The 17790-nt window shown below is 43.6% G+C and overlaps 1 protein-coding gene and 1 long non-coding RNA gene across 3 annotated transcripts in view; one reads left to right on the top strand and one right to left on the bottom strand.

The window, feature by feature from the left end:
* The window catches only part of TLN2 (talin 2), a 454082-nt gene that overhangs the window by 190674 nt on the left and 245618 nt on the right, over positions 1–17790 (bottom strand). For both annotated transcript variants that reach the window (NM_015059.3, NM_001394547.1), the window contains 4 exons: positions 6512–6683; positions 3777–3874; positions 1824–1953; positions 644–796 (listed from right to left, as the gene is read on the bottom strand). In NM_015059.3, the coding sequence (NP_055874.2) occupies positions 644–796; positions 1824–1953; positions 3777–3874; positions 6512–6647 (517 nt within the window). In that variant the 5' untranslated portion in view covers positions 6648–6683. The remainder of the gene's footprint in view (positions 1–643; positions 797–1823; positions 1954–3776; positions 3875–6511; positions 6684–17790) is intronic.
* Positions 8777–16786, top strand: MGC15885 (uncharacterized protein). The gene is made up of 3 exons (NR_026897.1): positions 8777–9441; positions 13596–13798; positions 15340–16786. It is a non-coding gene; the product is annotated as an uncharacterized protein MGC15885 (long non-coding RNA).

Below are 17790 nucleotides of genomic sequence, written 5' to 3'. Positions count from 1 at the left end.
ATTAGTATTAGTCAAAAAAAGAGATGGAAAGACACTTAGTAAAACAAATTAATTAACTAATTAACTTGTTCAACCTTATTTGGATCCCAGTTCACACTATTAAAAAAATTTTTAGACAATAATGAAGAAAATGTGAACATGATTTGTATATCTGATATTAAGATATTTCTTTAGATGTGAAATGGTATTACAATTACTTTTTTTTTTTTAATTTTTATTTATTTATTTTTTGAGACCGAGTCTCACTCTGTCACCCAGGCTGGAGTGCAATGGTGCGACCTCAGCTCACTGCAACCTCCACCTCCCAGGTTCAAGTGATTCTCCTGCCTGAGCCTCCTGAGTAGCTGGGACTACAGGCATTCACCAGCAAGCCCAGCTAATTTTTTGTGTGTTTTTAGTAGAGATGAGGTTTCACCATATTGGCCAGGCTGGTCTCAAACCTGACCTCAGGTAATACACCTGCCTTGGCCTCCCAAAATACTGGGATTATAGAAGTGAGCCACTGAGCCCAGCCTACTTTTTTAAAATAGAGTTTTAAAAACAAAAATCAAAAGTCCTGTCCTGGGTCATATGGATGGTGGGAGGGAAGTGAGGCTTAGCAAAGCCTGTGTGTCTGTATCATGCTTCCTCTGCAAACACTTACGGTCATCATCTGTGTGCAGCTTGGCCTTCAACTTCTCCATTTTCCTCTCATCTCGTAACAGTGTCCTGTCTTTTTTGAGTGTGCCCGTTCCTTCCTCTTTCTTTTCTTCAATAGTTTCTTGGATTAAGGAGTATTCTTCATAATTTGTTATTCCTAAACATTGGAAATTAGGTTATAATTATAAATAATTAAACTGCTGTCAACCTCTTCCAGCCTAAGGCCTGTGATATTCCAAGGAGCTCCTGGTGGCAAAGAACCAGAAACGGCCTTACAAATATGAGGGTCAGGGAGGTGGCCACATCAAATTAAATGAAGAAGCTTCAGCTAGTTAAGTCATATTCACACTGTGGGGGAAAACAGGTAACAAACTTGAACACTTTTTTTTCAAAAACGAATTTTTAAAAATCAGACTCTGATTTCCTCTTTCTTCCAAAATGTCTTTGAAACCTTCCTACATTTTCACAGGGTTATTGTCACTACAATACAGAATCTCCAGTGCTAAGTAATTCCTTTCATAAAGGTTTCCTAAAAATGTAGTAGTGAAATCGTACCCAAAGAAGTCACGCGTATAGTAGAACTTATGTCACATTCAATTCTCTCATCTATAATAATTTTTGGGAAACACCGCCACAGAGGAGGTCATGCAGAAGAAGGCAAGACAGTGTCAAACAAGAAGTGTCTGAAGGAACTAGGCTTCCTTTGCATGAAGAGAAAACTAAGATAGGTAAGTCTATTTTCTTCAAATATTTGAAGGGCTTCATTAGAAAGGAGGCAGACTTGTTCTCTGGGGAGACTAACAGAAGCCACAAGAAGAAAGACTATCTAATAATCATGTGGGCTGTCATCGTAAGTACTCAAGGAGATAGTGAACATCTAGAGTGCTCATATAGAATAGAAGGCAGCAATGGGCAGAAGGCTGAATTACACATGACTTTCCATTTGAAAATCTTCTTGTTTTGGAGAGGGAAATGAAAGCCCTCCGTTGTGACTTAGTGAGAAGTCCAAATGTTTCATGGATTGGCAAGTTGGGAGAATGGACACACCCTCTGGGGATTAGGCAGAACTCGGCGTGTTAAGACACATTCAAAGTTGCCTAGAGATCAAATGCAGGTGGAAAAAAGAAGAGGCCTGTAATTAAAAACTAAGCAAAAAGACATAATGAAGGTGTATGAATGCTCACCTATTCTGCTACAAATAGTGACCAGGAGCTCCCCCACAGTCTTGGAATCATCCACCATCACTGTCTTCACAGATCCATCCAGCATCCGGATTTTCTGAGGTCTCTGTTTCTTTTTATATTCCAAAATATCCTAGAGCACAAACCACATACAAATTTCACACTGTGTGGGGAAAATAAATAACAAACTTGAACACTTTTCTTTAAAAAATGAATTTTAAAAAAATCAGAGTAGACTCTGATTTTCCCTTTCTTCTAAAACATCTTTGAAAACCTTTCAAAGTTTTCAGGGGATTGTTGCCACTACGTCTTTTAGAGATAGTACAGACCTGGACTTACAAAAAAATTCCATTCAGTGAGAATCTCTGTTATTGCTGCATTTCATTTACTTACATTCTGTATGATGCCTAATATATTTAAAAGTGTTTACCCTATCTTATTCCATACGTTCTTTTCACTTTGTTTCCATAAGCCGCCCTGCACTTCTCCTATTTTAATGGTCAACATACCTGCATTTCTTCCCTCCTACCCCTACTGGCTTGAAAGCTATACAGGTTATTTCTTGTTTGTTTTGACCAGTAATTAAAATTGTATTAAAGAACTTGTGAAGTCTGGTTTCTTTCATTATTTCCATATACAATCTATCTATATTCTCTTAGGCTATCTTCAATTATTTTCCCAATAATTTTCTTATGAAAAATTCCAAACACGGCACAATGTTGAAAAAATAGTGTACTGAACATTCTATATCTGTCACCTAGAGTCACCTTCAATTTTTTCTCCAGTGCTAAATAACTGCTTTCATAAAGATTTCTTAAAAATTTGATAGTGAAATTGAACCCAAAGAAGTCATACTTATGCCTTACAATTACTGAAAACCATCCTCAGTGAAATGAAAGTAGAGTATGACCTCCTGCAAGGCTGAGAATGATCTGCTCTAAGGAGAATTAGCAGAGGGAGGTGACTACTTGCCTGTTAAAAAGACATCAGTGTGTGTCTCCAATTATCTTTTAACCTGTCATAAGCAATTTTTACTATCTCTATGTCTTTACTATTTGCATATAAAAATATTTTTAATTTTTACTATAAATACATTTTACCTTATATCTTAGAAATAATGAAAGACATAAATAGCATCCTCATCATTCTTCATATTAGTGGAGTATCACAGTAGTCGTGATTTTCAAAAGAGTGTGTTAAAATACATTAATGACAAGACCAAACAGGGGTAACATGTTTGGGGGATATTTTTAAGTAACTTGTTTACTACACTTCCTAAAACTAGAAGTATGAACTTCCTAAAACTAAACTATTCATTTCTTATCCAAATTAATTGGCATCACATATTTCACTCTTACTTTATGGAATACCCATCAATCTGATGGGTGCACTTCACCCTACATACCAAAACCCGGTATCTTGGAGGTTAAGCTGAACAAAATGTTTAATATGTTTTTACTCATTACTTCTCCCTATTTCCATAACACAACCATTTTTGTTGTTGCTGTTACTACTACTGATCATTATTAAACTCACATCTCAAATTGAAGTTTCTTTTTCAGAAACAAAACACTAATATTCAGTCTCTAACTACCATTAGGGTTACATTTCGTTTTTCCCTCTCATTTGTTCTTACTTCCCATCTCCAGGCATAGGAATATCTCTTCCATACTTACAGTAAGATGCTGTATCTTATCTCACAATTACCAAATCCAACAACGACAAGTAGAAACTACTTAAAATACTAACCTCGAACTGCTTCAATCCTTCTATGGAATCTCAAGAATTTGGATATCTGACATTTTCTATCACCACCTGAACAGCCCTTACAAAGTACAATGCATCGAACTATTAATAAGATGCCCTTGAATCAAAATAGCGTAACCGTGTTGGCGTCTATGGAAGAAGGCCCAGGGACAAAGGGATGAAGAAACAGCACTGGGATTGGCAGCATACCCCATTCCGCAACATGTAGTAATCCAGTGTTCTGCCCGCTTCCAGCCAAATCCCTTTCCTCGGGTCTTCATCCGAAAGAAAGAGTCCATAGTCAGAAGCTGAAATATAAATGGGAAGAAAAACAGAAGGCAAAGTGGTGATGAAGCCATCACTGACTTCCAGGCCCTGAGCCTGCTGACTCAGCAAGGATGTGGGTGTTCTCCTTCACCAGACAGCAATGTTTCGTTTTGACAACACAAGCAGCCATCAGGGCTGGAGCAGATCTGGAGGAGTAAGAGTTGAGTTGCAGAAGCAACACCCACAAATAAGGTCCGTGTTTCCTAAAACCAGTGGGCTGTAGTTGTGTCTAAAATGTAGGAAAATTTAGAAGCAGTCCAAATTTCTTTCTAACTGAATTTGAGCTTGTTCTCTATCCCTTGCTATAAAAACCAGACCAACATCCCATGGAGAATGACAAGACAGCGGGGGAGAAACTAAGGAAGTGACCACCTATGCCCAAGGCCACTCAGGCAAAGGGGGACAAATGAAGCCTTTACGTCTCCAGTGACCCCTCCATCATCCCAACTGAGCGGTGTAAAAGAGAGGTAGGAGTTCCTTGTGAGATGAGGCCTCTGACCCCGACCACCAACAAATCATGTAAAAGGTGCAAAATTAAATTTGGTGTTCTCTGCAGGAACCCCTTAATCTGACATAGGAAGTACGAAGGGGGTGGGGTGGCAGGAGAGGAGCAGTACCATTTCCTACCCCAAAATTTCTCTCTTTCTTCTGAGACCCAGATGAGGGTAAGAGCTCCTGCTGTTTCTTAGAAAAGCAACTTCAAAATCTTTAAAGGTTTATACCTTCACCAGCACTATATAGCAATCAAGCTCCCCACCCCCACCAAAAAAAAAATCCGACAGAAAAACAACAGAAAAAGGGAACAGAAAAGTAAAGGCACCAGAAATGACTGGACAACCAAATAGTAAAGTTAGGGATGTAGCAAACCTTATTTCTGAGTAATCTAGAAACACTACTAATAGCATAAATAATGTTTTAATAGCCAGGGGGCGCAGTTGCTCACGCCTGTAATCCTAGCACTTTGAGAGGTGGGTGGATCAGTTGGGCACAGGAGTATGAGACCAGCCTGGGCAACATAGCAAGACCTTGTATCTACAAAAAATACAAAAATTAGCCGGGTGTGGTGGCGTGTGCACCTGTAGTCCCATCTATTCAGGAGGCTGAGGCGAGAGGATCACTTGAGCCTGGAAGGTTGAGGCTGCAGTGAAGTGTGATGGGGCCACTGCACTCCAGCCTCCAGTGACAGAGCGAGACCCTGTCTCAAAAAATAATAATCGTCCAGGCGTGGTGGCTCACGTCTGTAATCCCAGCACTTTAGGAGGCCGAGGCAGGCAGATCACCAGAGGTCAGGAGTTCAAGACCATCCTGGCCAACATGGTGAAACCCCGTCTCTACTAAAAATACAAAAAATTAGCTGGGTATGGTGGTGTGCACCTGTAATCCCAGCTACTTGGGAGGCTGAGGCAGGAGAATCGCTTAAACTCGGAAGGTGGAGGTTGCAGTGAGCCAAGATCACATCGTTGCCCTCCAGCCTGGGCAACAAGAGTGAGATTCCATCTCAAAAAAAAAAAAAAAAAAATCGTCATCATCATCATCACGTTTTAGACCAAAAACAATTTTATGAGAAGCAGATCTTTTCAAGAAGATATTTTTGTATTTATAATTACCCTTGTGATGTTTGATTTTTATTCTTCCTTTTTTTTTTTTTTTTTTTTTTTTTGAGTCAGGGTCTCGCTTCATCGCCCAGGCTGGAGTGCAGTGGCTGGATCATGGCTTGCTGCAGCCATAAACTCCTGGGTTGAAACTACTTTCCTGCCCTGAGACTACAGGCACATACCACGACACTCAGCTAATTTTTCAGACTTTACTAGAGACAGGGTTTCAACCTGTTGCCTAGGCTGGTCTCTAACTCCTGGGTTCAAGCGATCTTCCCGCCTTGGCCTCCCAAAGTGCTTGGATTACAGGTGTGAGCCACCATGCTTGGCCTATTCTTTCCATTTTTAAGATAAGTTTCATCCGACTTTCACCTAAAGACTTACTGATTTGGAAGGGATCCAATTTCTCAACTGCCTGTCAAATACTAAATAAAAGAAAGACAAATTGAGAGAAGACAAAGGGAAGGGGAAAATAAAATGGTACAAGTGGCTTTTGTTTAAACTCAGATTAACGGGGATGAGTGATTTAGCCAAACTTCAAACAAAACATATATCACAAATGTCTTTTTTTTTAAGGTTTGAGATAAAATTTATAAAGTCCCTGTCAAAAAACTTGAAATATAAGACCTGCCCTGGGTTCCAATGGCAGTGGAAAGCGTTCATGCATGGGAAACAGGGTTTAGGACACATACCGCCAATACTGTTAGGGCAGCTTCATTTGCACTTTCTTGGGACAATGAGATGATACATGAGAATGTGATCTGTAAACCGCAGAGCATAATCCTCATGCATGGGAGGGTCAAGTTGCTGGGCACAGTGACAATGATGACTCAGCAGTGGGCATGGTCACTGTAATCACAAGTCTCACAGAGGAAGCAGGTAGTGTCTGATCTAAGAAGGTATTTCATTTGAAACATATGCACTAATAGGCTTGTGTACCACTTGGAGCCTCTGTCTCTTTAGCAAAAAAGTGAAAAACATGCAAACACGTTTTAAGAAGCCAGTAAATAACCCATGACCTACCTTGCCCAGTTTGTGCCTCAGGCACCCGTTCCCGAATGACTCGACACGCATCGTACACAGCTGTAGATGGTTCAAACTGCATGGTCTTCACCACGTTGCAGTGGCGCACACAAATCTTTAAGGACAGGGCCACCATTTTCCTAGATGATGTGGACAGTCTCACTTAGAATGTCTGGAAAACACAAAGAGACAAACCCTGATGTTCACGATAATAATTTGTCTTGGGGAAAAAAAAACAAAAAAAGTGCTGGACTTTAAAATCAACTTTAAACATGGAAAGAGAATAAAACAGCAAATAAAGAGTACACTTTAGGTACAAAACAAATTTTACAAATCAATTTTGAAAAATTTAAAGGAGGACAACAACAGCATATTGGCTAAGAGTTATTACTACAGGGTGACAAGTAGAACCCCTTAGGAGGAGGGAGCTCCAGATGTTCACCACACCTCCCTCTGAGTAGTCCCCCTCCTTGGGGTTTCTGAGAGAAGGTCCTAGGAGTGGAATTTCTAGGGTTAATGTCCTCAAGGCAAGAGGCAGAGAGCCTTGGGCACCTATGACTGGGTCCTAAAGACAGCCTCAGTTCCCTGGGTCCTCTCAGCACCTGGGGACAGAGAAGAATCAGGGAAGCCCTCTCAGGTGCTCCTCTTGGCACAAAAGCTCCACCACCCTTGGATTCTGGGCCCAGCTCCATCACTAAGAGCCTGTGTCAATCTGAGAAAGTCACTTTGGCCACTCTGCCTCAATTTCTTCACAAATAAAGTGGCTATAATGATATCAGCCCTGCACAGTGCATAAAATAGAATCCCAAGAAAAGATCAACATGAGGCCAGAGAGGCCAATCTTAAACCCAAAGGGTACCAAGAAGCTTCACGTGATTGGGGTCTCAAAGGGAATAAAATGCAACTCAATTCTGATTTGATTTAGACAAACTATGGAGATATTTTGTTTCTTCTCCAGTTCAATAGTTTCAGAAAATACACAGGTGGCTGGGTGCAGTGGCTCATGCCTGTAATCCCAGCACTTTGGGAGGCTGAGGGGGGCGGATCACTTGAACTCAGGAGTTCGAGACAGCCTGTCCAACATGGTGAAACACGGTCTCTATTAAAAATATGAAAATTAGCCTGGCATGGTGGCATACACCTGTAATCCCAGCTACTCGGGAGGCTGAGACAGGAGAATCGCTTGAACCCGGGAGACAGAGGTTGCAGTGAGCTGAGATCATGCCACTGCACTCCAGCCTGGGCAACAGAGCAAGACTCTGTCTCAAAAAAAAAAAGAAAGAAAAGAAAAGAGATGAGACGAGATGAGACGAGACACAGGTTTAGGTTAAGTTTGAACTTGCTCATAAATGCTTTCTTTTAAAAATGTAAGTTCAACAACTCAGTGTTTTTCCTTTGAGTTGGTGGCTCACGGTGTATTTCCAGTGCCTGCTCTATTTCATGGCCAGAAACTTACCTGTCCCCTACTCACTTAACCCAAGCCAGTCTCTATCAAATATACTCCTTGGGCACAAGACAGAAAGAAACCTGTATCACAAACGCTTTTTTCTTTGTGCCTGAAGAACCAGCTGAGTGTCATCCTAGCAAGCAAAACAAGGCCCTTTATAGTTAGTAGCTAATAGAATCTTAGAGCAGCCCAGGTAACATCAATCCACAGGTATTTCAAGCTCACTCTCTTTCTTGTGTTTTATGAGAGAACCTGCAGGTAGTAAACCTGGACTCCAGCTTCTTCCCACGGAAGAAGGGAGGTGCTAGGAGGCAACAAGATGGCCACAAGGCAGAGGGGACAACAGGCTGCCCAGGCCCAGGCAGTGCAGCGAGTGCCTCCAGGGTCTCAGCTTCTCAGCATGCTTGATTGCTGGCGTCCTAACGACAGGTGGCTGGGTCACATGGATACAGGAGATGTTTTTCAACAGATGCTTTGGTGAATGCGGGCATGGTTTACACGGTCTCACAAAGCAACCTTTCAGGCCGTCCAACTGCAATGTCATTCTGACCCCTGCTTGCATTCTGAATGAATTTTGCCATGAAAATTGTGAAACTATTCCTTAGTTGAGAAAGGTCAGGATACACTTCTCAATAAACAACAGCAGTGTTCACTGGGAATCTGCCTGAAACTGAATTAAGTAACTAAGGCCTAGGCAGTGGCTGGATTGCTGACACAGCAGAGGGGTTCAAAATATCTGGCAATTCCCAACTGCAATATTGAGGACTTTTAAAGCCATATGTAAAAGCTTCCTCCACCCCTCTCTTTATAGGCCTAGTTAACCCAGCAACTCCCCGATTGGGGGAAATAAAATTTAAACTCTAGAGATAAATGGACTAATTTGCTGTGATGCAGATCATTCCGTGGGCTAGTCTGTCTCCTGGGGCTGGCAACAATTGCTAAAATCCATAAGCATGACTGGTGGTAAGAGTCAGTGAGGAAAGCCACAAAGCTCCATGCTGTCATGGATGCTGTTTATGGGATGCAACGGTGAGGATGGGATGGTTAATATCGTCTGTTCCCTCGGAAAACGAAGTGTTGTAAGCGTTGCTGCGTGAAGTCTGCCCTTCCCAGGCTAAAAACTGAGCTTTCTGAAAGGCAAATGAATGGTCCCCCTAACCATGCAGAGAGAGATTCCACTGAAGCCAAGAGAGAGCCATGACATGGACCCGAGAGCCAAATGTAACAGCAGGACCTAACACTGGAGCTCAGAAGGAAGCAGAAGACACACAGAGGAGCAAGGAGAAAGCACCAAAAGGGGCAGCAGAATCAAAGGAGGGAGCCCTGCAGGGCACAGCAAGACGCCTGGGGCTGCGGGGTCCGCAAGGTGCACAGGAGAGAGGCTCAGAGAGCTGGGAAGCAGACAGGAAGGAGAGAAGCAGAAACAGGAGGACATGAAGGAAAACCTCTGTCAAGAAAGGCTGCTGGGGACAAAGATTTGGAGGTGAGTTTCCTTGAGAGGTATTCAGTGGAGAGGTGGAATATAGAATTGAACGCAAAGATGGAGAGAGAACTGGGTGGGAGGGGCTAGAAAGACCACCTAGGGAGTGAGGGAGAGCAGTAATGACTCAGCCCTGGGAACAACATTCTGAATTGGCAGACGAGAAAAAATTGGCAAAGGAGGCACAGGGGTAGGTGAGGGAAGAGAACAGACAGAGGGTAGAACCCAGGAGAAAGCACATCAAACAGAAGGGAGAGATCGCATGTACCCATTGCTGGTCACAGGTCAGGTAAAATGCAACTGAGACATTGCAACTGAATCTGGCAAATTGGAGGGCTTTAGTGGGATGGGGGCGGGGCGGTGGGTGGCGCGGGGGAGAGCCTGGAGTAGCAGGTTCAGGAGAGAGATGGAAGAGAGGGGTGGCCCAGCAGGTATAGACTTGTCTCCTGAGCAAGTATGCTAGGAGGGGGCAGAGGAACAGGCGGTAGCTCAGATTTATGCTTTTAAGACTTTGTAATCCAAAAGTGCACATCACATGGTTGCTGTAAACTCCATAGGGAAGTTATCTACATAGACATGGTTTCCACCTTATTATAGTCCTAGAGACAGTCCCAGGACAGCTAAGTGCCCTTCCTCACCATACATAATCTCTATTCTGCACCAAGTGCACATGGCTGCCCGGGTCTATTGCGGAGAAGGTGAGTGGCTAAGTCTGGGTTCACGGAAAGGACCCTGGGTGCAGAGTCTGAGGTGCAGGCTCAATTCCACACCTCCTGATGCCTTTGACCTCTGGACATGTCAATTCCCCTCTGCTGCCTTCAGAGAGCAGGAGGTAACCTGCTCCCACAGAAGGAGCTTCCTGATAGATACTCAATGCTTGGCCAACTATACCCGTTGGATCCTCAGTCTCCTCATCCTTACATCTCAAGAGGGGGCAGGGCATGGAATGGAGGGTAGTTCAGGGTAGGTGTTCAACAGACAAGAAATACTACATTCACTATGAGACTTGTGGCCTCAACTTTTTTTTTATCACCCAAAAACAACTATTGCAAAAAAGCATCACAGGAACACAATATACCAAAAAAAAAAAAAAAAAAAAAAAAAAAAAAAAAAATCCTGGAACCAAACTAATCATTCTTACAGAGCACTGCACACGAGTGTAAGACTAAAAGGCCCCAGGGTTGCCTTCTCACTTCTGGCTCCCCATTTTATTAAGATTTAGTTTTTCCAAGCTTGAGATAAGGCCAACAACTGACTTCCCAGGAATGTCTCTAAAAGGCCAATACTTTGTAATCTACAACATTATATTTAAAGACAAGATATTTTAATTATTTTCACCCAAGATGATCACTGACATAGGGAAACCCAGTCATATGGGATTTATTCACCACCCCACAAGAACCACAGCAATGAGCTGCTTCTAGCACCACTCACAACAAAATAAGTACCTGGCAAAAAGGACACTTGTTGGAATCAAGTACTATGACTTACCCTATAGCAAAAAGAAAGTAGGATTAAGGCCAGGTGCAGTGGCTCACGCCTGTAATCCCAGCACTTTGGGAGGCCGAGTTGGGCAGATCACCTGAGGTCAGGAGTTCAAGACCAGCCTGGCCAACATGGCGAAACCCCTTCTCTACTAAAAATATAAAAATTAGCTGGGCGTGGTGGTGGGCACCTGTAATCCCAGCTACTCAGGAGGCTGAGGCAGGAGAATCGCTTGAACCCGGGAGGCTCATTGAACCCGCAATGAGCAGAGATTGTGCCACTGCACCCCAGCCTGGGTGACAGAGCAAGACTCTGTCTCAAAAAAAAAAAAAACAGAAAACAAACAAACAAACAAAAACAACAACAAAAAGAAAGTAGGATTAGAACATATAGCAACCTAGAAATGTAGACTAAAGATGAGTGTGTATTTTCCACACTTGTGAGAAATTTACATCCACTGAAGCCCTGTGAAAATGAGGCAGCTCAGACAACACACCTCGATAAAGATTTATGCTCCTTGTCCACTGTGATGTTTTCAGGGCAGCAAAGCCTGCAACTGGTCCTGGCGTCTACTCTTCTGCACCCGAACCCCTCTCCGGGCTTTTCATGGTGCAGACTCTGAGGTTAGGATTGCTGATCAGGTTTCCTCTTCTAGTTTGACTGCGTGAAACTTCAGAGCCAAATCTGTGTACAATTTCTTGCAGTGTTGTTATAGTCTAATCCCTTTTTCTATTTTATCTTATTGTTCATTTTTCGTTTACCCGAATTTGAATGACTACTATCTTATTGGATCTTAAGGTTGTTTTTGTTTTTTCTTTACTCAAAGACTGGGTATAAATTCATAAAACCTGCATTGTGTTTCTTTTCATAATCTTGTCTCACTCTGACCATTTCTGCCCTCATTGTATGTGTGAAGGTTGCTTGATCCAACACAAAACCCTTCTGTGGTTTCCTTTGTGGAAGCGGAGCTGACGAAACCAGTGGTGAAACCCAGACATTGTCCTGTTAAAATATACTTTTCAGTCCCAGGGAGCTGTAAAGAGCCCAGGATGATGGCAGCAGTGCAGGCTGCTCAGGATCACCCTGGTTCACCCAGGGACAAACAAGTTCAGCTCCAGCAGAGGCCTCCTTCTCTTCAAAATAAATGCCTGTCATTGGTCAAGATGAGCAGCCTTCCCTTGGATCTCTGCCTGTAAGGGAGGACCACGAAGTGCCCTGACCCCACCTGCCTTACCAGCTGCGTGACTTGAGCTGGTCACTTAACTGCCATCTGCCTCAGTCTCCTCCTCTACAAAATGGGAGATAATAACAGATCTACCTATAAGATCGCTAGAGAATTAAATGAGTCAAAGGCACAGAGAAAAGGCTTAGGTAAGGGCTTGTTATTATTATTTTTTTTTTATTTTTATTTTTTAGATGGAGCTTTACTCGTAGCCCAGGCAAGAATGCAGTGGCGCAATCTCGGGTCACTGCAACCTCTGCCTCCCGAGTAGCCGGTTCAAACGATTCTCCTGCCTCAGCCTCCCGAGTAGCTGGGATTACAGGCAGGTGCCACCATGCCTGGCTAACTTTGTATTTTTAGTAGAGATGGGGTTTCTCCATGTTGGCCAGGCTGGTCTCAAACTCCCAACCTCAAGTGATCCACCTGCCTTGGCCTCCCAAAGTGCTGGGATTACAGGTGTGAGCCACCGTGCCCGGCCTGGGCTTGTTATTATTATTAATAACATTAGTCATGGGAGTTGCACAAACAATGGAAGCAGCATACTTGAGTCGGCCACTATCTGAGCTACAAATATCATTTTATTGTTTATTTTGTATCTATTATGTACTAGATAACCTAACAGGCATTAGGGGGCAAAGACAGGTACAACTCCTGTCTACATGGAGCTCACCTTCTAGTTAGCCCTTTATTCACTTAAATATAGTTCCTGTGGGCTGGGTGCAGTGGCTCATGCCTGTAATCCTAGTACTTTGGGAGGCTGAGGTGGGTAGATTACCTGAGGTCAGGAGTTTGAGACCAGCCTGGCCAACATGGTGAAATCCCATCTCTACCAAAAATACAAAAATTAGCCGAGCATGGTGGCGGGCGCCTGTAATCCCAGCCACCCAGGAGGCTGAGGCAGGAAAATTGCTGGAACCCGGGAGGTAGTGGTTGCAGTGAGCCAAGATCGCGCCACTGCACTCCAGCCTGGGCGACAGAGTGAGACTCTGTCTCAAAAAAATAAATAAATAAAAGTTAAAAATAAATAAACATAGTTCCTGTGTTTATTCTTATCGCAGTCACACAACATGCTTTTCCTAGACACAGAACTTTCTGAGGATGAGCTGTGAGGCTGAGTGTGTGTGCGAAGCAGCTAACTCCTATAGCACCTAGGCTGTTTCTCTTGGAGGTCACTTAGGTTCCCCCAACCTAAGAATTCAAGAGGGAAAAAGCCCTCACCCTTTGGCGCAAGGCTGGCATTACTATCAGCTTCCACCCTGGGGCTTGTTCATGAGCTCTGCCTAGGGGCAACTTAGGGGGGCACAATGGGGGCTCTGCACACTCCTGTGTAAAGCAGGGGTTTGTGCCCACCTGGCAAGACCAGAGGGCCAGGCTACCATACCTCAATGGGGCCGTGGAGGTCTACAAGAGTAAGAGCTGGCCACCGTCCCCCTCTTCTCTCTGCCTCTAGCCACTCACTCTCCACCGTGACCTCCTGGGAAGGCCTCTGTGCCCAATTTTGGATGGCTGTACTTGCTATAATTCATCTGTGTCTACATCTCAATCTCCCAGGAATGATTCAGCTCTCTCAAAGAAACACCAAAGAAAGAGCTTCCCCTTCTCCACTCCCTACCTGTCTTCTACAAGAGAGGAAGAGAAGTAGCTCCTCTGCAGGTAAGAACCCACCATGCACTGGGTCACAGCCACCCAGAAGTGCTGCAAATGCCAAAGCCAGGGTCTTGCCCTCCACCTCGCTCGGCAGGACAGTCTGGGCTCAGGTACCCTGAAGCTTGCCTTGAACATTCAGACTCCAGGCACTGAGCAGGCCAGGCATAGACAGGTGCCTATCTGTCCCCATCTAGGAAGGTAAGTCAAGTCATGCCTTCACTGGGAGCCAGCTATCTTTAATTTAAGGAGGGACCAGGAGGGAAGGAAGCAGGGCATCCCATTTGATCTCATCGTCAGTCCAGCTTTACCAAGGAGCCACATTTCCTGGAAGTTACCAAGGCCCTCTCTAATAATTTTGTCAACCCACTGGGACCTGGTTATCTCTTCCCAACTGGTGGGAACCCAGAGGGCAGGGCCTGAGTGGAGAGGCTCCCCTAGTCTCGGTATCTACACTTGAGAGCGCTCCATGCGATAGTAAGCTCAGGAAAAGCAGCAATGAACACAGCTCATGTGATTTTTCCATGTGGCTAACAGCCACTTAGAATAGGACCAGGAGAGTTAAGCTCCTGTTTGCAGCCAGAGTAGGGAGACCAGAAAACAAGAGAGAACATTTATGTAAGAATCCCTCAGTTCTCCCTTATGGAGGCAAGAGATGCCAGGACTACTGTTTGAACACTTCAACTAGAAATGACTATCGTTAAAACTCAAGTGCTAAATGAACAAAGGAGAAATAATTAACCACCCCCACAAGTGTGAACTTAGCAGCAGCCCACACAGGTCAGTAAGAATTCCAGCCAAGTTGCTGGCTTCCAGGGCTGCTGTGCAAACCCCATATATCCCTAAGTAAACGGCAGGGCCACCACAGTCCCCAATATAGCAGCAATAAGATAGATATAGATATACACATAGATATAGATATAGATATAGATATAGATCTATAACCTAGTGTCAGGAATATATTTGCCATTAGAAGTCCATCTCCCCTGCTGGCCTCAGAGAGCAATAACTACATCAATGGAGTCATCTCTGTATTTCAAGGCCTATCACAGTGCCCACTATACAGTAGGTGCTCTATAAATATCTGTGGACTTCATAACACTCCATGGAAAGATTTAACCAGATTTTTCCCTAAATTAGTCATTAGGAATTATGCACAGTAATATCCCAACTAAAGGATGAACAGAGGGCCAACATCCAGCAGACCAAGCTATGTCTACTCAACAACAGCCCGCTCCAGGAACCACAGATGCTGAACTTCATGGCTAACAAGATGAAGTTCTCCATCTGGGCAAATACACAACTCAAAAAAAGAACCAATGCCACATCAGTCAGAAATAACTGGAAGCTCCCCAAGGGCAAGGACCACGTGTATTGCTCACAATAAAGTACCTGACACAGAGAAGGGTTCAATACATATTTATTTAATGCATGAATGGGGTGGGGAGAAGTCAGCATTTCTACCCTCCACCAAGAACCAAAGAGAGTGCCCACAACATGGAATACAAGAATGATGAGAAAAGACCTTTGATACTATTTTCCATTTTCAGGTGAAGAAACTAAAACCTTGAAGTCAAGAGACCTTCCCAAAGTTCACACTGCTAGAAAAGCACAACCAGACCTTCTCACACTGCCACAGTGAACAGAGAGGGTATGCACACGGTTCATTAGAGTCCTCCCAGGATCCCTCCAACCTACCCTCCCATTGCCAGGTAGTTCTTGGCACTGGCACCTGGAATTCCATCATTAAGTATATTGTTGGTCATAAAGATTTGTCCCCAGTTAAACTTTGCTATAAAAATGGATATGTGCATTTGCTGCCTATCACTGTCATAGAAATGGTAAGTTTCAGAACCCTCCGGGCAACTGAGCTGAGTGCTGCCCTTTATTAAAGATGATGCCTAATTAAGAGGAAATTCTGCTGAGGAAGGGGTAGTGCACTACAGAACACACTAGAACTCTGGCACAGTGGAGAAAGGGCAGTAAGCAGGGGAGTAAGAAAAAAGGACCGCCTGAAAGAGAGGGGAGCCGACGCCTATGTTCTCACAGCTTTATGATTTTGCCTAGAGCTGATCTTTAATGGACACATAGCATTTTGAAATGTATGGAAAATCAGGTTCAAGCTGCTTAGCCCAAAGATTAAGGCCCCCACCCACCGCCCAGGCTCATCTACCCCGCTTCCTGTCTCCTAGGCACATCATAAGAATCCTCGATACTAATGAAATGGATGATTTTTCAATCCCTGCAAAACTGCTTCAATTATTTCAGCCTGTGTGTCTGAAATGTTACCACCCTCTGCTCCAGGTCCTCCGTTACCCGTCAGCCCAGCATCCGGCTTTGCTTCCATAAACTAGTCTTTAAACCCTGCCCCAACAAGCAAGGATCCATCTGCTCCCCTCAACTCTCAGAGCACTCAGCTGTGACCCTGCTCCAACACCAGCCCGCCTGGCCTGAGTCACCAGTGAAACAAACAGGAGATGCTATCACCTGATGACCACTCAGCAATGAAGTGCTCCAGGGCGCTTCCATGTATATCTTGTCCCTGGATATGATCAATAGGCTGGAAAGCTAAAAGGATTTTGCATTTTTTGGCACCCCCCTTCCACAGATAAAAACAGAGGTTCTGGGAAGATACATGAATTCCTGGCCTGTATGTGGAAGATACTGTCGTTTTTTGTCGAACCGTAAGAAGGCTGTGTCAGCTCTCGAGCAATCTCACTATTCCCCTGTGGTTGCCAAGACAGCTGAATAAATCATCCATACATTTCAGTCCTCTTGGAGTCTACCTTTCAGTCCTGCTATTTTCCTCCTCTTGTTACAAGCTTCAGAAAGAAGGTGGCTCTAAACTGAACTCTGACTTTGAATTCTTTTATACATTAACTTATTCAAATGATTGAAAGTAGATTGTTTACAAAAATGGATACAATAGAAATGTAAAAGGTCAGCTCCAAGAAAAAAATAGAAGAAAAATAAAAGTGAAGGTCAAGACCAGGTGAACTATGAATTATTTACCATTTGTCTAGATATCAGGGAATAACTCATCCCATTACTTGTTTTCGTTGACCCTTGGTGGCCAGCCTATACAATCTCAGGAAGGCATATTCTGCAGGCTCCTGCTGAGGCTGAGCAACACGAGCTTTGTCATTAAGGCACACACCACTGTGATGGATACAGATATACTTGGCTTTTACGTGGGGTTGGGGTGGGGGAAGCTTTGTTCTACAAGTGCTCAGGGAGGGCATTCAGTGTTTTCTTCCAGACTGAACCTGGAAGAATGAGTGACAAGAACTGTGCGCAAGCTCCTTCTCAAGTGACTCTCTTCATGCTGCGCTTAATTTGATTGTGAGATAGTGTGGCCCCCACTGAAGGACATCTGCTAAAAGCAGCATGGGTTTGGGTTGCCGAGTGACCATGCAAACCTATATTACCATGTTTGCTTTCACCTAAAAAATGGAAGAATCTTGCACTTCCTAGCTCCACTTCCTTCCCCTGCAAGGACCAGACAAGAAAAGGCTGAGACCCCACACCACACATCACTCAAAAAGGCAAAAGCACATTTTTTGACTTGGGCAAAATTTTCTTCAATTTTGAAGAAAAAAAGGAAAGAAATTAAAAACCTATTCTTGCCACTTATCTATGTTAACCTATTAACTATAAATCAGAAGGACCTAAAAATCTGGCATATATTTGGAGAACTGAAACAAACCAAGAAACCTGACTAAACTTTCCATTTGTGTAGACTCAAAGTCCATCTGCATATCATCACATTGCCAATCCAGCAGTCACAGACCAAACTGGATTTTCCAAAGGCTCCTCATTTTCTACCACCACTCATTCCAAGGTCACCCCCATTTTATACCTAAAACTTGCAATGTTTTAGTTAAACTCTATCTATCTATCTATCTATCTATCTATCTATTACAGTATCCCTGATCTTAGACTTAGAAGTCATTAAGTCTAGTTCTCTACAGGTTATGTAAATCCTTGCTGTAATTTTCCCA

Source organism: Homo sapiens, chromosome 15, assembly GCF_000001405.40.
Source record: "Homo sapiens chromosome 15, GRCh38.p14 Primary Assembly".
Classification (NCBI taxonomy): Eukaryota; Metazoa; Chordata; class Mammalia; order Primates; family Hominidae; genus Homo; species Homo sapiens.
This window is presented reverse-complemented; position numbering and strand designations above follow the sequence as displayed.